This window comes from Homo sapiens, chromosome X (assembly GCF_000001405.40).
Source record: "Homo sapiens chromosome X, GRCh38.p14 Primary Assembly".
Taxonomy (NCBI): domain Eukaryota; kingdom Metazoa; phylum Chordata; class Mammalia; order Primates; family Hominidae; genus Homo; species Homo sapiens.
This window is the reverse complement of record NC_000023.11, coordinates 36180852-36207350: the sequence shown is the minus strand read 5'-3', so window position 1 is coordinate 36207350 and position 26499 is coordinate 36180852. Positions and strand designations below refer to the sequence as shown.

General features: G+C 35.7%; 1 protein-coding gene across 2 annotated transcripts in view, besides 1 other annotated feature; it reads right to left on the bottom strand.

The window, feature by feature from the left end:
- CFAP47 (cilia and flagella associated protein 47) overlaps positions 1-26499 on the bottom strand; it is a 465584-nt gene that overhangs the window by 177967 nt on the left and 261118 nt on the right. For both annotated transcript variants that reach the window (NM_001304548.2, XM_017029452.2), the window contains exons 41-45: positions 18661-18731; positions 17155-17300; positions 6858-6972; positions 5851-6077; positions 2241-2394 (exon numbers count right to left, since the gene is read on the bottom strand). In NM_001304548.2, coding sequence (NP_001291477.1) covers positions 2241-2394; positions 5851-6077; positions 6858-6972; positions 17155-17300; positions 18661-18731 — 713 coding nt within the window. The remainder of the gene's footprint in view (positions 1-2240; positions 2395-5850; positions 6078-6857; positions 6973-17154; positions 17301-18660; positions 18732-26499) is intronic.
- Positions 8350-8904: an enhancer, noted in NCBI's record as "OCT4-NANOG hESC enhancer chrX:36216564-36217118 (GRCh37/hg19 assembly coordinates)". NCBI's record gives its function as "activates a minimal SCP1, AML or CMV promoter by ChIP-STARR-seq in primed H9 embryonic stem cells {active_cell/tissue: H9 hESC(primed)}" and the evidence as "EXISTENCE:reporter gene assay evidence [ECO:0000049][PMID:30033119]".

Here is a 26499-nt window from a genome sequence, read left to right as displayed (position 1 = left end):
TCTTGTCATTTGTTTCTTTCTCCATGACACCAAAAGAAAAAAAAAAAGTTTTGTTTCAATATTGCCATATTTATTATCAGAAATTTGCTTGTTTATTCTCCTAAAATCAGTTTATACCATAAAAATATGTTTTCTAAACACATAACTCTAATCTTCTAAGGCACAAATTCTAATAGAATTGCATTTATTAAAGTTACAATGCTTGCATCCCATTCCTTTTCATTATTCAAGTCCACCTCTGAACAGCAGAATGCACAGAGTTTAGGGCATGCCTTTTATTTCATTTGTTACTATCCTGAGTTATAATATCCTATTTTTGAAAGTTTACTAATATCTTTCTTCTTAAACTTACTTCATTTAAGTGCCTGTTTAAGGCAGTGAAAACAGAAACATAGGATGAAAAGATCCCTTTATAATCTCAGCTGCACAGAAAATCGAGTTAGACATAAACCATGATAGCCCAACTACATTTAAAACGTTTTATTAATGATAATTCAAAATTGTTTGCCATTTTATTTTTTCATATTTTGACAGTAATCATCTTACCAAAATGGATAATTAATAATTGATATGAAAGAAAAAATCAGCCTTAGAAAAATATCTGAACAGATTTTTAAATGTAGATAACTTAAAAACTATTTAAATATGACACAGTCTTCATGAGTGTTTAATAAGGCTATACTTCAAGTTTTAAGTCAATTCTATGCTGTGTATCCTTGGTTATACATTTTCTCAAAGTGAAATGCTTTAACATTTGAATTATCCTATATAGTCACCTGAATTAATTCTTAATTTTATTTATAAACACATTCTATATGTGTCTATATATAACACTTATCTCATTGTATTATAAGAGCTACTTATCTGTGAGTCCACCAAAGGAAAGAATAAGGCAATTTTTATCTTTTTGCCTAGGGGAATTGATGCTCAACATTGTCGATGAACGAATGGCTGAATAAATACATTCACAATCCTCTCTGTGTTTCAAAGTAGATGCAGCTTTATCCAGTTATCTCAAAAGGGATTAAAAAGTTACTAAAACAAGTTATCCATTTAAAATTCTAATAGCACATTGAAAAGCTGAGTTAATAAAGATTTTAATAAGATAAAGACTTATGATGAAGGGTCTCAAACTGATTGCTGGTAAGCCAAATATCCCTCCGTAGTTGTTTGGCTGGCTCAGGTTATTTTTATTTTTACTTTTTGAATGTGAATGTTTAGACAGGGCATCTACTCTCTAGTTCACCATAGGATCTATCATCCCTATTACCTTAGACCAGACCTAACTCTTAATTCCTTGTTATTTGCATGGCCACTTAGCATTTGAGTCTGGGATCTCAGTTCTCCTAGGGAGGGAAAGTAAACAGACTATCTTGTAATTTATAAGTTGTAATCACCCTTTCAGGCTTACAAATATTTTGTAGCCAACACAAATCCATACTAGAATGACAAATGAAGATTTAACAAAACCAAATTTAGCAAAAGCATAAGTGAGAATCCATGATACTGGAATTGTGGAACATTCTAGGAATAGCCTTAGTGAATAAATTACATTCCTACTATTATCCAGTTGTTTGAAAAGAACTGAAATGAAAAAGAAAGGTAATTTTGAATAGTTAAAAATATTTAGTCACTTGTTTATGTCTTATCACTTGTATTTAGTAATGCTAGTATATCAATATTCATATTAAATTTGGATTAAACCTTATTGATAATGGCAACAGAATAAAGGGGCACCAGGAGATCAAAAATAAGTACAGTATTCAATAAAAATCCTGCTCCAGATCAAAGATAAGTTACTCACCAATAACACATTCTTCTCCTCTGATAACCTCTAGCCATCAACATTTTTCCTTTCTTTTAGAGCCAGCCTAAGCCTCAACTTCAGCACAACTTCCATAACCAAGTTCACTCTCAAAGCAAGAGCTCACCTTCCTCAAAGTGCACTTATTATCTTTATCAGATTACCACTCTTTAACAAATTTGTAAGCCTGCAAGTTTCAGTACCAGTAATTTAGCACCCAAATTCAGTACATAATTTTGATTACTGTGATGTAATATGTTGATTATATGTAATGCAAAGCATCATTCAATAATTGGTATTTACTTCACTGAAACCCTTCAATTATATTATGAACACTTTGTCAGTAAAAGTGTAATCTCTTTTTGCCTCAACTGTGAAGTGAATACATCATCATTCCCGGAACACTTAGATTTTTAGGCCGCACATCACTGATTACCTTTTGCTTTTGAAAGTTTAATTACTTGAGGTTCTGGAATCCAAGGAATGGAGATTTTCTCAGGGATATAAAAATACTTTGGAAGGCTCACTTCTGTTGTGTATGAAACGGTCTTAGGCTTCCTCAACTTTGAGATACGAAAGAGCATAAGAGTCTGTGAACAAACAGTAAAATTAGAATGTAATTTTCTTAACTTTCACCTCCAAAACACAAAAGACAGCATTATGTATTTAGACTATACCTTTGGGGAAAAAAATCCATCAAGGATTGAATTTGATTATTTCATTATTTTTATTTAATTGGTGGAAAACAGTACAAACACATTTCAGAAAACCAGTGGAGTCCTCTTTTATTGAGAGATGACCAATGTCCCCCGTGCTAATGCTTTCAGTGTTGAGAAATGCCTTGCCTTAAGAGGAAACTATTCCACCGCTGACCAGCATTTGAGAAAGTGCTTTTCTCCTTTAGTTGAAACCTGTACTCCTTCATATCTACCCATCAGATATATCAGATACATTCTTTTGTTTTTATTATTATACTTTAAGTTTTAGGATACATGTGCACAACATGCAGGTTTGTTACATATGTATACATGTGCCATGTAGGTGTGCTGCACCCATTAACTCGTCATTTAGCATTAGGTATATCTCCTAATGCTATCCCTCCCCCTCCCCCAACCCCACAACAGTCCCTGGTGTGTGATGTTCCCCTTCCTGTGTCCATGTGTTCTCATTGTTCAATTCCCACCTATGAGTGAGAACATGCGGTGTTTGGTTTTTGTTCTTGCGATAGTTTGCTGAGAATGATGGTTTCCAAGCAATGGCAACAAAAGCCAAAATTGACAAATGGGATCTAATGAAACTAAAGAGCTTCTGCACAGCAAAAGAAACCACCGTCAGAGTGAACAGGCAACCTACAGAATGGGAGAAAATTTTTGCAACCTACTCATCTGACAAAGGGCTAATATCCAGAATCTACAATGAACTCAAACAAATTTACAAGAAAAAACAAACGACCCCATCAAAAAGTGGGCGAAGGATATGAACAGACACTTCTCAAAAGAAGACATTTACGCAGCCAAAAAACACATGAAAAAATGCTCATCATCAGATACATTCTTATTAGTAGCACAGACTGAGGCCTCCTATTTCACTAAAGACAATTTTGTGAATTTACAAAAATAACTGGGTCCCACCTCTCCACAGATGTTCAAAAACTCTCTTACCTAGGTTTGTTATTTTTAGTTCCTCAATGATTACAATGATAATGGGGGTTACAACAACTCACCTCCATGCATATGCTCCTCTAGACAAAATGTAGTTCAATACTATTCTTCGTAAAGTGGACACTTAATATAAGCCCAGGTCTCTAAGTGTAAGTGAAGCAAGTTAAAAGTGACTTTTGTTTCTTTAGGCATATTTTCAATTCAATTAAACAACGACAAGGCTCATATCATGCATAAGATGTCAAAGGATAGACCAAAACACGTGAGAAAAGTTCTTAAGATTCTAGGATTTCACAATCTGACAGGAGAAACAGTTAAACATAAAAGTAAATCCAATAAAAACATAATTTATTAAATGTAATAATAAACACATATGCTGCGTTCCAAGGAAAAAGCTAAAGGAAGAAGGAGAAAGAAACTATATATATGCATACACAATGAAAAGGCTAGTCATGGACAAAATAACACCTCTCTCAACCATTTATAATTTAAATAAAATGTTTTGACAAGAGGTAATAATGAAGAAAATGAATTGAAAAAGAAAATGGGAGGGCATTATGACAGGCTTAAATTTTGAAAGAGCCACTAATTGAAAAATTTTAATGTAATAGTGTACTGAAAGTTGAACATAAACCTTCTGAAATCTATTGTTCTATATCAGAAAGAAGTGGTTTGGTTTGAGCTAAAGAAAACCATCAACTTCTTAGAAGCACGGTGCAGTCAAGAAAGTATCAAAGCCTCAGGATTTAACATTTTTTGAGCCAACCAGAAATTCAAAATCCAGGTCATTTAAAAATATCATCACCAATTGTTAGAAATCTGGGATTAGGCTGTATTGATTCTAGCTTCTGACAAATAAAAAAATAAATAATTTCTACAATGCCAAGTACTTTGATATATATAAATGAAGATAAATCTTAAGAAAGAAAAATGTATATAAAAATGTGTGTAAGTTGCTAAAACAAAACCTCATTTATAGCTTTTTTTCTTTCTCTTTTTTTTTTTTTTGAGACGGAGTTTCACTCTTGTTGCCAGGGCTGGAGTGCAATGGTGTGATCTCAGCTCACTGCAACCTCCACCTCCCAGGTTCAAGCAATTCTCCTGTCTCGGCCTCCCAAGTAGCTGGGATTACAGGTGCACGCCTCCACACTAGGCTAAGTTTTTTGTATTTTTAGTGAACACCCGGTTTCATATTGGTCAGGCTGGTCTTGAACTCCTGACCTCAGGTAATCCACCTGCCTTGGCCTCCCAAAGTGCTGGGATTACAGGCGTGAGACACCACGCCTGGCCAGTAAGAGCACTTTAACAGACACCTGAAGTAACTGAGAGAGGTAGCCCACTAATGTGTAGGGAAAAGTAACAGAGAAAGTTCAAAGGCCATGGGGAAGACACCTGGCATGTTTGAAGCAAAGCAACCAGGCATGTGCTGAGGGAGTGGCCTTAGAGAATGGACTCCAGTAGAAAAGGTGAGATGAGGGAAGGAAGAGGAACTGATGGACTCCTACATGACGGGTCATGTAGATCATCCAAAGGATATGGGCTTTTAACAAACGTTAGCTGGAAAGCCAGTAGAAGAATATGCACACAGGAGCAACATGAGCAGGCTTGCGTTTACAACAATCGCTTTGGCTGCTCTGTGAGAATAGATTGTACCTAATTCCAATCATAAAAATAGATTGTACCTTATTCTAAGCTGTAATGATAGAGTCTATAGCAATAGTTAATAGCAATAGTAGTGTACTATTACTACAGGGTAGTAATAAGTACCTCAATATCATGCATAAAGAGTGCACTTATTATATATACGAGGTAAGCATTTTATGTATAATTATTTCAGTTTTTACAAATTACCAATATCTCCATATAAAAAAATATAAAAATTTAGGCTTGAGGAGGTTTAAATAACCAGCCTACAGTCACACAGCTAGACAGTGTTAGAGTCTGAATTCTCAGTCTGGCTATCTGACACCAGAGATGATTCTACCTGGCTACACAGCAAAATATCCTGGGCAACTTTTAGAACATATTCCTACCCACCCCCTCCTAGTGATTCATATTTAATTTTTCTTGAGTGGGGCCTGGGTATGGGCATTATTTTAAGTTCTCCAGGGCACTCTAATGTGCAAACAGAAGTGAAAACTACTGTGAATTAATGACTACACTGTAATGCCTTAAATTACATAGTAGAATGCTTTGTTTCAGATTCATTATTTAACGAGGTATAAAGGAAAAAATGACAACTGAGCTGTCCTTCGGTACTCATTACTTTTCCTTCTAAAAATGTTATTTAATGAAAATAATATTTTAAATAGTAACAGCTCTGTAACTCTGTGTATTTTTAAAGAGAGAGTAATTGAAGTGAATCATCTATTACTCCATTCCCACCTCGATCTTCGTCAGTCCCAGGAGGGCGATGGCCACACGGATACTACTGCTCTCTAGAGTGCCTGTGATCAACCTTCGCTCATACTCAATACTCGACATCTGTTGCTGTGCTGCAAAAGCCAAAGCCTTTTCCTTGGCTTCATTAGTCATTGGCAATTTAAGGTCCACATACAGGATTTGATAGGGTTTGCATTTCAAATACAGAACTGGGTATTTCTTATTAGGCCCTGGAGGAAGAAAAAAAATATTAATGAATACAATGAACATTTATGCCCTTGACATTGTCATCCAGGATGGACTTGGGAGGTTTGAAATATAAAATTGCAGTTATGGTCATTATGAAACAGAGTAAAAATAAATGCATAGCACATGTCTATTAGTTCTAATTCAGTAATTAAAGAGCAAGTTTTCAGGAATTAAAGATTATTGGTATTCTCTAAGAGATCTAGTCAAATGATTGGTCCATATAAACGTCATCAACATGCTCAAAAATTCAGTGACCATTGTGCTCCTATCAGTGATAGGTAGGGGGAGAGTAGACATAAATGTGGAAAAAAAAAAGACACCTGTCAAAAACTCCCAAGAACTGTCATTTGCTTTCACTGACAACATTTTAATGCTTAGTTCCTTAAGGAAAAATAATCAAGAACTGGGGGCCAGGGTAAAATTCCAGGTTATATAACATTATGTAGATTTTTTGAGAGTAAAATAATTTCCAGATTATTTGAGAAATGGAAAGTGTTGCCAAGTAAATATTTTGTATGCCAAATTCCAATATTTAGCTTAAGACTGGAAAAGGAAGACTTAAAAAATCACCATTGAAATTTTTTAATTGGTAAAATGGTGCTGCTCTATTTCATGGATACTGACATAATAAAGTTAAAAGAAGCCCTTTCGAAATCTAAACACACAGAAGAGAAGCTTGCTATGAGTATGCTTAGGTAACTATATGAGGAAAAGTCCATTCTTCAACATTATAAATGAAATAAAACACATGTGTACTCTACCTTCTTCTCGAGTAGTGCTGTAATAAACTGGACTTGAAGACGTATTCATTGGAAGGCAACTGGAAGGCAAGGGGGTCATACCTTTTCCTTCCGCAACATATATTAATTGTCCAATCTAAAACACAAGACATTATAGTATTAAATTTCAAAATCTCTCATAAAAATATAACTTTTTCTGCTACAAGGGAAATCTGCATACTGTAAGAACTACCATGCATTGTGCTTTTATAAGCAACACAGCCTATAAATGGGTAAACAAAGGTAAGGCACAAATATAGTTCAACCATAGTATGGGAGAAACTTTGCCTGCAACCAGAGCACAGGGATTGCTTAAGAAGGTCCCAGGATTGCATTGATAGCAGTTGATCTTCCCAAATATCCTCAGGCAAATGCTGTCTTAAAATGAACAAAATGAGGAAGCAAGAAATTTTTTTCCTTTAGTCTGTAACTTATTATTGGACAGGAGTGACATCAGTTTTGCCAGGCATCTGAGTCCCCAAAACTCTACATTTTAAAGTGCAGGCTTTCAAAATGAACATGGAAAAGTCTAAATTTTTTTTAGAAAAAATAATTAGACCAGAAGTAGAAAAGGCTTAAGAAAGAAAAGAATCTTTTATTTGATTAACAAAAGCCCTCTTTAATTATCCGTCCCAGAGAGGCATTAAAATGTGACAGCAGTTGAGTTTCACATCCCCTTGAGCTAAATAATTACTTCTTGAGGCCACTTGATATGTGGTCTCTACACTAACTGAAGCCAAGTAGCCATAAAATGCCATATGCTAGAAACCATAACTCATACTCTATAGTTCAAACAATGTATAGCCAATCATTAGCCAATATTATTTCTATAAATCAGGGAGGATTCCTGTCAAACAACTTTGTATCAGCCACCCTTGTCCCTTTTTGCCTTTAAAAATCTGTTTGTAACAAAGAATGAAGGGAGCACTACCCAAGGCGACCTGGAAGTAAGTCATTTGCAGCCATCCTGAACCTTGGCCCAAATAACCTCTCTATATTAATGTTGCCTCAATTTCTTTCTTTAGACCAACAGGCTAAAGAGATAAGGCAAAAACAAAAGCAGGAATAATGCAAGGGCAGCAACATGATATAGTGAAAGATCAGCAGAGGTGGACATTTCTGGTTTTAATTGGCACTGCCATTTCTTAGCTACTAGGCTTCAAGCAAGTTTACTAAACCTCTGAAATCCAGTTTCCTCCTCTGTAATATGGGATGATCAATACCTTAATTTTAGGAACCTAGAGTTTTAATAAAAAGGAAAAGGAGAGAGGGAGTCTCAAAAGACATATGCAATCACAATGGTTGAACCTTATTTAGATCCTGATTCAAAGAATCTTAAAACGAAGTGACAGAAAAAACATACAAATAAGTATAAGACAATTGGAGAAATCTGAAAACAGCTTGGATGTTTGGACGATATTAAGAAAAACTTTACCATATTTTTATAGCAAGGATATCTTTGGCAGTGTCAAAAAAACATTTTTGTTGTAGAAACACTTACTGAATTGCTTATGAATAAAATTCTGTGATCACTGGGATTTGCTTCATTATAATCATGAAACATCTAGATAAATGATGTAAACCAAAAATAAAATTCTAAGATCCCAACTAACTAAATGGATCCCTGCCCAGCCAAAGGCATTCCAAAGTTAACCTGAAAAACTAGTTCAAGCCATGACAGGAAGTGGGGGAGTCCAGACATGCCTCATTATACCTTCCTCCTGTTGGAATTCAGGCACAGCTTACCAGCATTAACATTACAACAGAGACCTTAAGACTGAAAAACAGACTCTAGCAGGAAGGTATCAACATGAAATAGCAGGCCCTGAAAGAAATCAAAGTATTTTATCTCAAAATAGATTTCCTTGACATTTTGAAATGGCCCTGCAAAGCTGTCACTTACGGGGATAACCTACATTCTGTAGAGAATCCCCTTTCCTTTTCCGGGTCTTTTTCCTGATCCAGGAGAGAATTAACTAAAGAGTTTGGCATCTTTTTAAGTCTGATAAGAATAATTTGCTATCTATTCCTTCTGAAGCCTGCTATCTGAAGACTTCATCTGTATAAGAAGAATCTTGGTCTCCACAACCCAGTATCTTAACCAACATTCTCCCTTCCATGTATTCCAGATCTTTAGATATACTCTTTCAACCAATTGCCAATCAGAAAATCATTAAATTCTATGACCTGGAAGTCTCCACTTTGTGTTATCCTGCTTTCTGGACAGAACCAATGTATATCTTACATGTATTGATTGATGTCTTATGCCTCCCTAAAATGTATAAGACCAAGCTGCATCCTGACTACCTAGGGCACATGTTCTCAGGATCTCCTGGGGCTGGGTCACAGGCCATGGTCATTCATATTAGGCTCAGAATAAATCTCCCCAAATATTTTAGAGTTTGACTCTTTTTGTCAACAATGATATAAAGGTAAATTGATCATGCAAAAAATACATATTCTAAAATATTACAAATCTAGATAACAAATGAAACAGAAATTAAAAATTAATCTATAAACAATATAAGAATGAAAAATTTCTCACTGTGAGGTCTATTATTTATAGCTTTGTTATCCCCCATTAGGATTTGTTTATAATTCATTTGGTGGTCTATTGCTGTATGATAATGTTCCCTAAAATTTTATTAATTAAGACCCACAGTTATCTATAGTTCATGCTGGAAAAAAGAATATGAAAAACTTTGAACGTTTTATATTATTTATCATTTAAGTCTATACACTCCTGGCAATAAATACTACATAATACACAATTTTCATATAGTATATTTTCTTAAGCAGCCACGTACTTTACAAGCAAAAATCCAAGCTAGCCATTTGAAATGTGATTTGTGTGTTTGTGTGTTTGTATGTGTTTCCACACAAATACAACTGAATGATCAACAATTAAAGATGTAAAATATTCAGTAATTCAAGTAGAGGAAAAATGCATCAGTTAAAGACTGAAGATCTTTAGATAAAACAACGAAATTAGATAACTAATTACCTAAAAATTCGTTGTTTTATCAAAAATAAAATGTGCATAAGCAATTAGACTCATTGAGTGTAGAGTTATTATAACTACCTGTTTCCTTTAATGTGTGCCCAAATAAAACCTGAACTAGGGCTTGTCTACCATGTGAAAATGAATACCAACCTATGGGAGTCAATTTAAAAGGAGTAAATGGCTATTTGCCAGAATATTTTCCTCAAATATAAATTATAACATCTTCTCAGCCATTGATTCATCAGTTAAAATATTATTAACTAGGACTCCACTCAATTTCCACTAAATTCTACATCTTACACACACAGTATATTACCATATCTCAAAAAATTATTTTGACTAACATGTTCAATATCAATATATTCTTTGTATTAAAAAATCACTTAATATAATCGAAAATAATGCTTATCTTGCCTGTGTCAGAACATTATTCAGAAGAGCCATAATCTCTACTATAGTTTGATTATTTGCTTCCACTTTTTCTTGGAATAAAATTAGACCATGAAAGGCACAGAAATGCAATAAATAAAAAGCTGTTTTAAAGTAGAAAATCCTCTCATATTCCAAATCTAGAAGCTTTGACAAGGGAAATGAAATTAGTTGACACTTAGCAGACGCTTGTCATCATGAGCTGTTCTAATAATCACCTATACAAGTTTTTCCTGCTTTTAATTTCATAACTTCTGTTTGGCATGCTTAATTAGAAATATATTGTATTTTCCAGAAAGATGCCAAAGCTCATTGTCAATTATAAGAAACTTTTACAGAAGATATTTTGTTCCTCTTGTGTATCTAGTTAAATGCAGTCCTCAAATAGCACAGTTACATGCAAATTTGCAAGAAGACCAGCTGTTAATTACCCAGAAAAGAGGGATACAAACACTGAATTGGCACAAAAGTTTTAATCCCAGCTCTGCCACTAATTAGCTGGGTAACCTTTGACAAGTCACGGATGCCCTCTAGATACAAATAACCTCAATCTTCCCCCAAAAAAGTGCATTTACCTAGACAGAAAATCTCCTTGATTTTTCATAGGTATTAAATCGTATTTATTCTCTTATTTTGGGTTCGGATCTTTCCCGTTTTGTGATTTATTTGTTTGAGAAGGCTGAGCAATATTATATTATTTTGATGGCTAAACAGGCACATGGAAGTTAAGCTAAAATTCGAAATGTTAAATTCCATATGCTAAAGAGAGATCATTAATCATTATAGGTCACCATTTGGCTATCAAAATTATAATATAAACCTGATTAGTAAGAATAATCACTGTTATTTAAAATTATATTTTTATAGAACAATTTATAATAATTAAGGCAGTGAGCTAGGAGCTAGGAAACTCAGTGAGGGTGAGAAGACTCATGAAAAGATTTGTATACCTGCACTTAAAAGTTCAATTTTCTTAACAAAATTTTGACACAACATTAATTGCAGGCCTTACAGATTATTCCACAGACATTTTGAGAAGATAAAATATATTTAAATGACATAAATTATTAATGGATTGTTTAATAATAATTGGTGGTATGTTTTAGGACATTATTTCCTCAAAAACCTGGAAGCTGTCCTTAGACTTTAGAAGTCACTGTGGCAATGAAATCTACAGTCTCTCTTTCCTTTTATCACCACATTTTTCAGAACCATTTCACTCAAATGTGTCACCAATTTGCTCTGCAAGTGAATGAAAACTTCCTTCCCTTCAAATGCGAACATCACTCAAACTGTCATTAAGTTTGATCTTTATAGCAATATAAACTGTGGTCCTTGGAATCCCTTGCTAGAATTACAGAGGGAATAGCCGAGGGCAGTATAGAAAGGGAGTATGTGAAGCAGTGTAACACAATACAAAAGTCTCCTAGCCAGTCTCCCTATCTCCAGTTCCTTTCTCCAACCTGTAATCTACTATCTGTTTTGGCATCAAAGATGCTTTCTAAAACAAAGATGAAATCAGGCCCTGCCTATTCTTCCACTGGATTCCTGCTTCAATAATAATTATAATGATTATAAATAATTCAACTTAAAATTAACTGCCCTACTCAATATCAGTCTGATTTATCCATCCAACCCATTTTCTATCACTTCCAAGAAACCATTCTCAGAATCATTAATCCATGTGTACATGAGATTTCATACTTAGCTGTTTTGCTGTGTTCATAGAATCTTCTTGGGAGTACCCATCTCTCCTGCCCAGTCTCTTTGTTTTATTGGCAACTCATCCTTGATCAAACTCCTGTATTAATCAATTATCCCTGTCTTCACTATCATACAGAAATGAATTCTTCTTTCTATTCTAGAAATTGTCACAATCTGTCTAACTGTTTTATAGAAATTAGCGGACATGTTTCAGGACACTGTGTATACTAGCAAAGAGTATGCCTTGCATGGGGGCATTTTGTCAAGGACAAGGATGTCCCATCACAAAGCACCATCCACTGAGTAAGAGATGCATTTTTCTAATTCATTTGACTGTGTCATATGTTCAGTAAGCTTCTCTAATTCACCAGTAGGAGGCCCTTATATTTCAAATTCATGCAAAGTTTCTGTGTGAGATAGGCCAGCCCTATGCAAGTTTGCCTTCTCCACTGGTGATATAGTTTGGCTCTGTGTCTCCACCCAAATATCATCTTGAATTGTATTTCCCGAAGTTGGAGGTGGGGTCTGGTAGGAAGTGATTAGATCATGGGGGTGGTTTCTAATGGTTTGGAACCATTCCTCTAGTGCTGTCTCATGATAGAGTTCTCACAAGATCTGGTTGTTTCAAAGTGTGTAGCACCGCCCCCTTCACTCTTTTTCTTTCTCTCTCTCCTGCCAGCCATGTGAAGACATGCTTGTTTCTCCTTCTCCTTCTGCCACAATTGTAAGTTTCCTGTGGCCTCCCCAGAAGCAGAAGGCTATACAGCCCGCAGAACCATGAGCCAATTAAATCTCCATTCATTACACATGACCCAGTCCAGGTAGTTCTTTATAGTAGTGTGAGAATGAAGTAATACAGAAAATTGGTACCAGAATTGGGGTATTGCCATAAAGATACCTGAAAATGTGGAAGGGACTTTGGAACTGGGTAAGAGGCAGAGGTTGGAGCCATTTGGAGGGCTCAGAAGGAGATAGAAAGATGAGGGAAAGTCTGGAACTTCATAGAGACTTGTTGAATGGTTGGGACCAAGCGCTGACCAGTGCAAGAATGGACTAATACAACTGGAATGTGAGTCCCTTGAGTGCAGGGATCATGGATTTTGCATATGTTCACTCTCTCTCTGCCTAGAAAATTGGCTGTATACTGTTGGTGAATTAAACTATGTTGGGAAGAGTGAGCAGAATAATAAAATGAAATTATTAAAATCCAGCTTGAAGGATACAAACTTTTTAAAATGTGATATAGTCATTCTCTATATTCTACAACTTCTTTGTAGAATGTGAGGGTCCATAAAAATAGTATTGATTTTGGAAAATAGCAATTACTGTTTCCTCAGCTGTGCCATGTCATGTGAGGTGATATTCCCTAGAGCTAAAATGTTGGTACCTCAGGCATGTGGACTCTTTACAGTCTATCTGATAGTACCGTTGATAAGGAACCAAGAGAGTAGCCCAAAAATAAATAACTGACAATTAGGTACAAAATTCTAATTTTCAGATTTTTCTCTTCATGTTTATCTTGAAAAAGTCTGCACTGCTTATTGTAGGATGAGGGTTTTCTGGTTAATAGGAGAAAGGAGGGTGGCTGAAGAGCAAAAAGGCCTTGCAGTATGAAGGGAGCTGAGAATCTTTGTAACTTTGTGAGTATATGCCACATTGACAGAGACTTCAAGGTTGACATAACCTGCCCCCATATTGGCAGCAGGCTTTATGAGGTTAACAAATGCTTCAAAGCAATTATAGGCCAAATGGGATTTCATCTTGCCTATGTTTCCCCAGGAATTCAGGGGTGTTACCTGTAGGGAGGTGTGTAGTTATCCTCATTCCCCAAAAAAAGAAAAAAGTTGTGAAAATTGAATAAAAAAATCAAAGGACAAATGAAATAGGGCTTGCCATTATAAATCATGAAAAATAAAAAAGAAAGCATCCTCAAATAATACTCAGTTCCTCAAGCTATAAATATATCTCTAATAAAACAAAAGTTAGTCTGCTTAAATATAAAATCACATAAAGATTTTAGCATAATATAGTTTAATGTTTTTACCTTCACATTCAATAAACAAGCAAAATCAATACTGTTAAATTCTGTATTAATGTTATAAACATTCATTATAATTGAAAAAAGTTGCACATTCTTGGAAAATATTTAAATATATGCATATTAGAGACTGCCAACTTAATCTCTGCATCACCAGACACAGGAAGACACAAAAGACTGAGAGAAAACGAAATGACTGAGAGTGGAAAGAATCAGAGGAGTGGCCCTATTGATTTATGCAAATATATGGGAGATGGCCAAAGTGACATTAATATACTTAAGAACTGGTGCTTCATACCCTTAGGCTAAATTATTATAGGCCATAAATCAACAAGAAAGCCTTGCAGGGTCTTCTACCTGGGAGTGGGCATGCTTTCCCTGTTAACCTCCAACTTGACTTGGCAAGGCTGAAACTCACTTTGGTATATGGCACCCTGGTGTGGGCCTGACCAATTCACATAAGTTATTCTGGGATGCTGACCTCCCTTCTGGCTTCTTCAATTCAGCAATGCCTGGACTTTGGTCTCAATTTGTTCTAAGCAAGGTTTGTAGACAGAGAACAAAAAAGGCCAGAAGATAAATCTACCAGGTGGAAGGGAGGCTCTGGGTCAAGTCAATAAAAAACACTGAAGGTTTGTTGGGAGGGGGCTGGCTATATCACAGCAAATGGCTGTAACTGGAACCCGCTGTTAACTCAGCCCCCAGGTCAGGCATCCTCTTTTATACCCTTGCCTCCCTTACACAGGTCAGCTCAGCAATGCCAAGTGGTTTACTGCATAAAAACCCAGGATCACACAGAGTGGGTGTTCACATGCTAGACACTACAGACACTACAGTGAAGACAGAACCCCAAGGTTTTATCAATACATCATTGTGTGTTTTGCAACGTCTGTGTGCTTTGTAAAGGGGTCTGTCAACCCCTCCTCCTAAAAGGTACAATTCACCAGGGACTGGACACTGATTCTGCTTGAAATTCCTCCACCTAATTTGCTCCATTCCATGTTGGAGCAAAACATTATTGGCTCTGTAGCATTTGATAGCACGAATTTTCAGGGCTTTCATAGGTTTCTCCCTTAGTTAAGAATTTCTATGAACACTAATGTAAGATTTGTAAAACTATTCTGTTTTTAAATAGTTGTTCCTTAAATCTTTTCAACTTTATTTGAAAATTCAAACAGAAGAGCCAGAATGAAAGAAATAGTCTTTGCTTCGTAACAGTGTTGGTAGCAATGTTTCAATTTTATACATGGAAAACTATCAAGTAGGGGTCTAATTTCAGTTTTCGATAGGTGGTTTTTGTTGTTGTTGTTGTTGTTTGAGACAGTGTCTCACTCTGTTGCCCAGGCTTACAGTGCAGTGGCATGATCTCGGCTCACTGCAGCCTCCACCTTCCAGGTTCAAGCAATTCTCCTGCCTCAGCCTCCTGAGTAGCTGGGACTACAGGTGCGTGCCACTATGCCCAGCTGATTTTTGTATTGATAGTAGAGAAGGGGTTTCACCATGTGGCCAGGGTGGTCTCAAACTCCTGACCTCAGGTATTCTGCCCACCTTGGCTTCCCAAAGTGCTGGAATTACAGGCTTGAGTCACTGCGCCCGGCCAACAGGTGGTTCTTAATGGTAAAGCAGTTACGGCCCGTTTAAAAAGAACAGTAGCTAACTAGGTGAGCTTGCATGTTTGATTAACTATTATATTTTTAATATAATTAGCAACGTGTAAAACAATAGATCTTCTTCATGTAAGAAACATTAATTCAATGCAATACTTTGTACTGAGGGCATTGTTTCTCAATTGATAGCAGTATAATTTCAAGATTGTTGTTTTATTTTAATGTTTTCTCTGACAAGGACAAAACATACGTAAGCAAGATTTAGTTTTTAGTAAATTGAGATAACATGTTAATTATATTTTGATTAATTATATTAAATTTGTGTAAGCTAATATTAATATTCCAATATACTAAGTCAAAGAATAAAATCAACCTTGTTACTATGCTATTGAGAATTAACTCTAGTATTTTGTTGGGTCATATTACAAATTAATATACAAAAGTGACTGTAAAGTATTTGATCAAACTACTGGTCACAATATAGTTATTACATTTCACAAATTTTATATATGCAGGAATTTACTTAAATCCTGATCTCCTTTAAAAGAATTTAACAAACAAGTTTCAGCATTACTATAAAAAGGCATTTTTTTCCTTCTAAGTGGTAATTTTAAGTGTAAAATTAAACTATATTTTACATTTCTAATAGGTATATTATTTTTCACATGTAAATACTGCCATAGACACCAGGTAAGTACAATACCTCTTTCCAATTACCATTTTTCACTGTATATGTATTCAATTTAGTGTACATATAACTGATGATAAATTTGGGACTACATCCTGGGGGTTATAAATTTCTTCCTAAGGTCAACACATGGCAGTGTCTCTCTGGAAGCAGGTAATGCTATAAACCTTCCCTCAGTGGTGGCTCTAACTCTCTCTCTCTTTCTCTCTCACATCTGTGTCTCTCCCCCTCTCTAACCCTCTCTGTCTCTCTCCCCCTCTCTAACTCTCTCTGTCTCTCTCCCTTGCTAGTTTTGAAAGTGTAGGTGGCATGGATCCCAGAGACATAAGGAAATGAATTTTGCCAACAAGTTGAGGGAGTTTGGAAGCAGATCCTTCCTCAGTTGAACCTCTGAAGAGAATCCAGCTCTGGTCAATCCCTTGAATGGAGACTTGATAGACTGTCGTCGGAATATCTATCTAGGTCATATCTGGACCTGTGACATACAGTAACTGTGAGATAATAAGCATGTCTTGTTTTAAGCCACCTGGTGTGTGATAATTTGTTACAAAGCTATGGATAACTAATACAAATAGAGCCACAAAAAGGTCACTCTGCTCCCATGGGACTGCTTTATGCAGCTATTATAAAATTTACCCACAACTAGTGTAACTGTGGATATTCTTGAGGATAAGCTCTTTGCTTAGTAACTTGAGAGCTGAAATCATCCACATTTCTAGAGTCTTCAGTTGCCTTCAAGTCACCTGCTGTTCGTTACTCCATTAAAGTGACAGCTCGTGTAAACACACAGATCACAATTCTGTTCTCACCTTTTTGTTGCTCAAGATGATGACACAGTAGCGCACGTGCATGTTAAAGGGAAGAAAGCGGAGCTCTAGGCTTGAAGTTCCTTTCACTCCCAGGTGAACAGTATGCATGGAGCAGAAGAACTCTCTGATAAAAGTGGACTTAATTGCTAGCAAAACATAAACAGAGCTTGTTGACATATAATTTTGTAAGTGCTGTTCATTTAGTGATTAAAGTTTTGGTATCAAAAAATGTTCATAACATTAGCATGTAAGATTAGAAGATGATATGTACATTTGTTAATGAAAATACAGTGACCCTAGATCAACCTTGTTATGAAACAATGCTTAATTATGACCCTCTATAAAGATTCCTTAATACATAATTTCATTACGAAGAATTTCACTAATGTGTAAAATTAGCCAGGATATGTGAAACAAAGTGGTCATCCAAGAATCTTCAAATTTGTGTGGACTATGCAATGTTTCACAGGGTACAATGGATAACTTAAACTGGAAACAAAGGATGTATTATCTATATGTTTATCTATCTAAGTATGGCACACTAACTTATTGTGCCATAGAGCTCCATTTATCTATCTAGCAGTTTTAAAACATGTCCACACATTATCTGATATTGCCTTAAATATGATGATGTAGTGGGCCAGCCTTAGTGACTTGATCCTTACAAATTGTATGCTAGAATGCAGCAAAAGTGAAGCAGTGTGATTTTTGACACTAGATCAAATAATGTAACTGAATTCTGCCAACTCTTTCTTTTTTGGTTCACCTCACTTTAGAACTTAACGAGATCCCATAAAGAAGCCTGGGCCACATAGAGAAGCCATGAATAAGTGTTCAGGCCAAGAGCCCCAGCAGATGTCCCAAACAAAAGGCAGCATTAACAGCCAGACATGTGAGTGAAGAAGACTTTGAAAGGACTCAAGCCCCAGCCTCCATTTGACCGCGAGCTAGAGTCACACAGCTAAGCCCAGTCACCCCAGATGTATGAGAGATAACCATTATTATTAATTTGTGTTGTTTTATGCCAGTATATTTGGGGTGGTTTGTTCTACAGCTCTAGATAACCAGAACATTCCTATGTCCATTTGTTCTACCGATCATTATATCCATCTTTTCTAGACCTATAGTTATTTCATAAAGTAATTTTATGAAATAAAATGCTCCCCTTACAACTCTAAACTTGGTGATACCTGTCCCCAAAATAAGTTTAAACAATTTGGAATAAGCCAGAAGAGACATATAGGCCATATATCTAAACACATTATTTGTACATTGGAGGGAAGTAGACTGGCAGTGAAAGGAGAGATGTGTGCAGAGTTGTCCAAAGGGTCATCAAGGGAAAAGACTCAGGACCTATGCTTCAGCCTCAAATCAGCCAGCAATCCCCAGGGCTTACTACTCTGTCTATTCTTGTAACCATCCCTGTTGAATATCTCATTTCATATTATGCTTTGCATATAAAAATCAGACATGAAAACAAATAAAAACTTTTATTTAGGTACTCACAGGTATGTAAGACATTTGGGGAATCGGAACAGCCCTGATCAGTGTCACTCCCACTGCTACTCATATCATCACTGACACAAGAAAATAGGAAAACAACATCAACAACACAAACAAAACTCAAAAACAATTCTTCATATTAGTTAAATCATATAGAGCCTTGAAAGTTATGGCTAAGTACAAATGATATGAAAAGACCATAGACATATTTCAAATATTATTTGATGTTCACATTGTTTTAGAAATTAAAAAACATAAAAATACAAAAAGAAAACTAACAAACGTCCATATTTCCACCACTCTTTTCAAAAAAATTGATAAAATAATTATTTTCACTTTAAAATACAGTGCTATAGAGAAGTACAAATTTGATAATAATAGAAACCCTAATCCAAAGACTCAAAACGTGGATGATCTCAATTTAGGACTAAATAGGTACTTTTTCCAAAAGTGGTTCTAGAAATTGCTTTCTTGATAAAATTTCCTTCTCTAAGTTTATTATCTCCACATTTGCTTGTTTCTTAGAAAGGTATAAGAAGACTTCGGAATTTGATTAATTTCTGATTGCATTTCTAAAAACAAACTAGTAGATCACAGCCTGAAGCAACTGCCTCCCTTGAAAGGTTCCAGGTCTTCCAGAACCCATCAATTTCACCCATATCACTCTTCTTGTAATATTCATGATTATTTTGCTCAATAAGCTGTCAATTACTATTTTGGTTTAGAGATATTGATTACGTGATTTTTTTCTGAGAACACAAAACCCCACATTTGCTCACTTTGACATCTGCTTTTCCCTGAATTTGATGCTGTAAAATATTTTGACTCTTTACATGTAAAGTTATTCTAAAGTTATCCATTCCTTTTCACCATTTGATTTTGATGAGTAACACTGTACTGTATTTTCTTTACACCACATTTGTAATGAGGTTACTTACCACTTCTTACAGTTATTCTGTGGCTTAATTATACTCACAGGTATTCTGGTTAGCACTATAAATTATATCTTTTTTAAAAAAAGGTAATACCTTTTTAAAAAAACATTTATTATTTTACATAATTTGCACATTTGATAAACATTTTACCACTGCTATAGACACAATAAATGGATATCTTAGCATTTATAAGGGAGACCATACAGAATAGAAAGAATAACAAAGACTGCTTATTATTTCTCCATATTTGGCTCCATTGCTATTTCTTTGATATTGGAACTCTGGGTAGAAAGCCTGATTAAAATATACAGATAATTTCCAAACCTCATTTTGTTCAATCCTTGTAATCTCTAGTTCAATCATGTTTATTATAGTGAGTAGAAAAGCAGACCAATTTGGGCTTCATATCTTTTTCCTTGTCTTTACCTATTTTGTTGGAAACAAGTAAGGAAAGTACCTTTTGAAGAAATCAGAGTTGCCTCATCCCCAAAAAGAGACTCTCAAACCCAGAACAATTCATTGACTGTTTAAGCTAGACAGAACACATTGCAGACCTAGATATTTGTTTTGACTTGCTAATGAATCCAATGGTTATCATGATTACAAAAGACATCAGAAAATAATTTGATGAAATAATTTGACTGGAAAAATTCTATTTTACCTGATGAATGTTTCTGAGTCTAGAAAGCCAGTGATAAATCTAACATTTTTACAAAACTTCGGGGTCCCAAAGACAGAATGGAAAATAACTTTATTTACCTTTCTGTTAATCCTTGCACCTCAGTCCACACTACCACTTTCTAAATGCTCATAAACTATTGTTGAATTAAAAGAACAGTAAGTCTTTAACCTTAGGGAAAAAATAGAATCAAAAGAGGCTAAAATTATAAAAAAAAAAAATACTGTAGAACAACCAGTGAAATATTTCCTGCTAACCCAGTAGTGGCCCAGAGTCAGGGAGTGGAAACTACTTTTGAGGTGTGAAGGGGTAATATTTCTTTTTCCTCTGCAGTAGTGGTATGCATCACTTTTCAAGCTAAAATGATAAAAATGGCATTGGATTGATTCGCTTAAGGGTATGACTAAATCAACCCAAAAAGTGATTTCCTACTCAAACCTCTACCAAAAGGGTTAGGGAGATGTTTATCATAAGCCTTCATGAAGTTAATTCAGGACAGACATTCAAGGCTGTATCTCAACCAAATAGCAAAATGTCTGGTTCAAGTCTAGTTTTGATGCATCATGCCCTTTGAATGCCACATGCATCATGAAAACTAGAGAGCATTAAGTTTTAGATTCATTCTATCTTGATATACATAGGTGTTTCTCAATAAAAGGCCCAGTGGATATCTAGAGGCAAGTAAAAATGAAATATTTGCTGTTTTTTGCACCACCTTGACCCCTGAGCAGTTGAGAAGTGTCTAAAGCAAGGAGTCCTAAGATAGAAGGGCAGAGCTGATCTACAAATGTCAATGGGGAAAAAATTTCAGCTTGACTTCCACTAACTTAACAACAATTTAAATCAAACCACAGTAGTATTAAGCATATCTATGATTTGGTCACCAAATAATCACAGATACGTTTATACTACATCTCAGTTCATATCTTAAGATATTATTTATGTTCATCACTGCTTTTAAAGTATAGTAGGCATTAACTTCACCATTATGTCTATTAATAAACAAGTATATATTTTATTATATTACACTCTTAAAATATTTTGATAATCTATTGTAATATTCATTTCCTTTGTGCCATGGACTGCATGGTGCCCTTCACCCCCAAATTTATATGTTAAAATCCTAACCACCAATGTGACCGTATTTGGAAATGAGAAATATAAGGGGGTAATTAAGCTTTACTGAGATCACAATGGCCTTGATCCAATAGAATTAGTGTTCTTATAAATAGAGATACATGAGAGCTCTCTCTCTTTGCCCATTCTCACATGTAGAAGAGGTCATATGAGCACATAATAAGATGGCAGCCATCTACAAGCCACCAGAAGAGGACACAGAATAAAATCTATCTTGCAGCACCCAGATAATGGACTTCCCAGCCTCCAAAACCATGAGAAATAAATTTGTGTTATTTAAACCATCCAGTCCATAGTATTTTGTTATGGCAGCCCATGCAGACTAAGATAGTCTTAATCCTTACATCTTATCTTATGTGTTTAGAAAACGCTATTCTTCAAAGTGCAATTGCCTTCATGAGAACCAAAGAGCCTGATAACATTTTCAAAAGTTAAGAAATCCTAATCTAGAAGAATAGGATCATGGAAGATAACTACCATACTTGGCCTTCAATTCACTCTGCTTTCTTTAGAGACTAGCTACTATAGACTGAATGTGCTTCCCCTGCCCTGACCCCCTCAATTCATTTGTTGAAATCTAATCCCCAGTTTCATGGTATTAAGAGGTGGGGTCTTTGAGAGGTGAAGACCTCTCAAAGGTCAGAAAAGTGGAGTCTTCATGGATGAGATAAGTGCCCTTATAAAAAAGACTCCAGAAAGCTCCCTCACCCCTTCTGCCATGGGAGGATGCAGCAAGAAGACTGTCTTCTATGAACCAGGAATTTGGCCCTTACCAGACACCGAACCTGCCAGTGCCTTTATCTTGGACTCACCAGCCTCCCAGCCTCCAGAACTGTGCAAAATAAATATTTGTTGTTTAAGCCCCTCAATCGATAGTATTTTTTTATAGCACCCTAACAGACTAAGACCCTTGCCTAATTCTAATTGTTCCTAATTATTCAGCATAGTAAAAAGAAATATTTTAAAATCATGAGTCTCCAGAATCCAGCTTTCTTTTTTTTTTTTTTCTGAGACGAAGTTTTGCTCTTGTTGCCCAGGCTGGAGTGCAATGGCACAATCGTGGCCCACTGCAACCTCCGCCTCCCAGGTCCAAGTGATTCTCCTGCCTCAGCCTCCTGAGTAGCAGGGATTACAGGCATGAGCCACCACACCCAGCTAATTTTGTATTTTTAATAGAGAGAGGGCGTCACCATATTGGTCAGGCTGGTCTCGAACTCCCGACCTCAGGTGATCCTCCCGCCCCAGCCTCCCAAAGTGCTGGGATTACAGGCATGAGCCACTGCAACCAGTCTTTTATTTATTTATTTATTTTTTTAACAAAAATCAAGACCCAGAAAATTATCTCTATCAGGGCCTTCTTTCATTTTTGGTTGCAATTCTGAACCAAGCTCTTCTGAGACATAGAGATTAATGATGAAGCCCCTAAGCTCATGGAGCATACAGTCTACAATAAAACATAGGTTTGTGAGAAATACTTTCAAAGCAGAATGATAAACACTTTGTTACCTTCTCAACATTAATTCCTATGCTTCTATATTGGCCCTGCAGTTTGTATGTCTTTTATTTCCCCTTGCATGCCCCTACCCATTGCTTCTGGAATTCCCTCCACCCATGTTCCTATGCTCATAAGAAAGTTCTCCTCCTTCTCTAGATTCTGGCCATCAAGATCTTACTCATATTTCAGGTCACAATTTGTTTATAATAAGAGAAAATACCAAAATACTTTTTTTAAAATGTCTTCTCTTCCATGAAATTCTCCATAACATCTAGATAGTAATATTCTTAAGCAATCAGATCATAGAGTATTTTTGTCATCTAATACTTTCATCTAATACTAACAAATACTTTCTTCACTGTAAAACTTCCTCCACTGGTAGGGATTTTTGTTTTCTGCTTGATGATTGGTTCCTCGAGGGCCAGATATGTGACTTATTTATCTTTATGTTTTTCCAGTGCCTGAGTTGCCACTTAATAAGAATATGTTGAATGATTAAATAACTCAATATTGCTGGAAAAAAAACACAGCAGGTCTTATAACCATTAGAAATAATTGCCAAAGTACTCATTTCTGAGCCCAGCTGTTCCATTCATTAATTTCAAGGTTTGGCTAAAATCAGTTGTCTACACTGATACGTTCCTGATAATTCCTTTGGGTTTCATTAGAATAAGAACTTACTAAATGCTCTAATTATGCTCATGGATCATGTCCCCACAACATAAAATGTGTGATGAATATAAAGTTTTATCATTCATGTGGTTCCAAATGGGTTATTTTATAATATATGTATCTGATTGCTTACAAAGAGCAGCTCATGGAGGCTTTTTAAGTAGACGAGTCTATCATTATTTTAAAGCCAGTTTAACAATGCTTACTATTTCATACTTTACTACTCACTTAAGAAGAGAAAATGTATTATTTGGAGAGATATTAGCTGATGTGAATCTGAGGAGGAGTATCAGTTAATAGTATAGGCTAGGTCATGCTGCAATAACATACAGCCTCATGTATCAATGGATTAGCACAATAGTTTATTTCTTGCTAATGCTACATGTCTATCATGGTGGAGGGTACACTCAGGGATCCTTGGTGAAGGAGGCCCCTTTCTTCTTTATTTTTATTTTTTGAAATAGGGTCTCACTCTGTCACCTAGGCTGGAGTGCAGTGGCGCAATCTCATCTCACTGCAACCTCTGCCACCCAGGCATAAATGATTCTCATGCCTCAGCCTACCAAGTAGCTGAGATGACTACCAGTAGTGGCACCCGCCACTATGTCCAGCTAATTTTTGTATTTTTAGTAGAGACAGGGTTTCACCATGTTGCCCAGGCTGGTCTTGAACTCCTGAGCTCAAGTGATCTGTCCACCTCAGCCTCCCAAAGTGCTGGGATTACAGGCGTGAGCCAGCATGCCTGATCAGGAGGCTCCTTTCTATATGTGTTTCAACGATAGTTGTGGCAGGAGAAGGGAACATGAAAAATTTCTCACTGGTTCTTAAAGCTACCATTTGGAAATAACATACAGCACTTCTCCTCACATACCATTGGCCAAATAGGCTATATGTTGACACATAAATTCCACATTGGTGGAGAAGTGCAATATTACCATGAGCCTAAGTAGAGGAAAACAGGAACATTTGAGAAAACCTCTTTAAAAAATCCAGTTTATTTATGGAGTTTTTTTAAAAACATTTTCTTGTTTTACTTGCTACCATGCTGGTTAAACATAGAGATTATACTAGGATTTTATTGAGACAATATAATGATTATTATATGGTGGATTGCATAAGAAAATTAATCATAGAGGCACTGCTATTGACTTTCATTCTGGTCATGATTTAAAATACATGTTATTAAATTTCAGTTTGTATATGGAAATCTCTTCAAGATAAACAATAAAAAGCTTTTAAAAGTAACGTGTAACGTTACTAAGTATTATTTTATTAAGACATATTTAAAGATAGAAATGCCTCATTATGCCAAAGAAGCCAGATTGATGAAATATTAGATCGTTTTGTGCTACTTGCGGATAAAAGTCTTTGTGTCCCTTCATGGTGGAGACTTGGTTAATTACCCCAATAATCATTTTCCTTTTCTCCTCACCGACAAAACCCTAATTTTATTTAGATGTGTATGGAGAAAGGAGGTTTTCCAGTCTTTCCTCCAGCTAGGTTTTGTCATTTAATTAAAATCTGGCCAATGGGCTACAAACAGAAGTGCTGTGTGGTATTTCTGGCAAACTTCCCTAAAAGAAAAAGGCACACTCTTATCCTTGTGCATCTTCCTTTCCATTGCCTAAGAAGTGGATTTGATTGTCGGAGCTCTGGATAGTTTAATCAATCCCTCAGAAACTGAATACAGATTTTCGTGCTACATGATCTAGAGTCTGGAGGTGTTATACAGGAAGCAGGCAGAATTCCAGATGAAGGAGCCATAGTAACTTCTTCTCTTTAGAACTGTCAGAAAAACAACCTTTTGCATGAAATTAAGACTACTTTATCTCAATTCAACATACGGACTTGGGCCTCAGCCATCATCTCATGCTAGTCCCTAAATGATAAACCAAGAGCTTGCATTAATTGACAAGCCCTCTTCCTTAAGAAACTTTGTGGCTTTTGCCTTTATAAGAATTGCCCTTGCCTTTGATTTAGGAGACAGTCTTCACAGGGGTACACATGAGTAAATCCGTAGTATTTTAAATGTATGGCTCTGAGTTATTCTTGCAGAGTTAATCTGCATGAGCCTGACTGCTCTATTTGGGATCAATGTTCTCTCTGACCCAACACTCAATGTCTCAGCATCTTTAAGTTTTTCTTGGCTGTTGTTTTGTTTTGTTTTTCATCACAGAAAGGCTTGAGAGAAGAACTAAGGAAGTATAGCATTATAAATAAAATGTATGACACTAATTAGAAAGAATGATCAATAATGCTTGGGACCATGGCAGGCACACTTCTTAAGCTATATTTCATGCTGAATTGGTAATTATTTGGGATGAGTACTTCCAAGGTTTCCTTTCCTGGAAAAATTAAATTGTAAATGCTTTTATAATTGTTTGCTCTATTTTCTTTTTGATTTGGGGAGCACTACCACAAAAAAGATAACCTTACTTGCAGCTTTAGATTCCATGGCTTCAACAATCCCAGAACTCTGGATCTAATCAAACCCATTCCAGAGTATTATATAAAGAAAAACATGATAAATTTGAGATGCAGAAATCATATTTTGTATTCTAAATCCTGAAAGTATACTCAATTTTTCTGTTCATTACACTGATTCAATTTTGAGTTATTTATACTCACAGATACCTACAGTGTTACTTCAAGATCTGACTCTAATTTACCATATACTATAAATTTTACACAATTAAAGTGAAGAAGTTATTTGAAGTCCATTCAGGCAAAATCTACAATCACAAAGCAGCCACTTAATCAAGAAGAATCAAGGGGCTGAAAAGATAAAAATCTAGGAGAACTGTTTACAGAAGTGTTTTTAGCAATACTTCAGTAAAACTTGAATTTCACATCTACAAAGAAATTAACATAAAATACCTGCAATCCTCTTATTCTTTTGGTATCTTTAATGCTACCTTATAGCT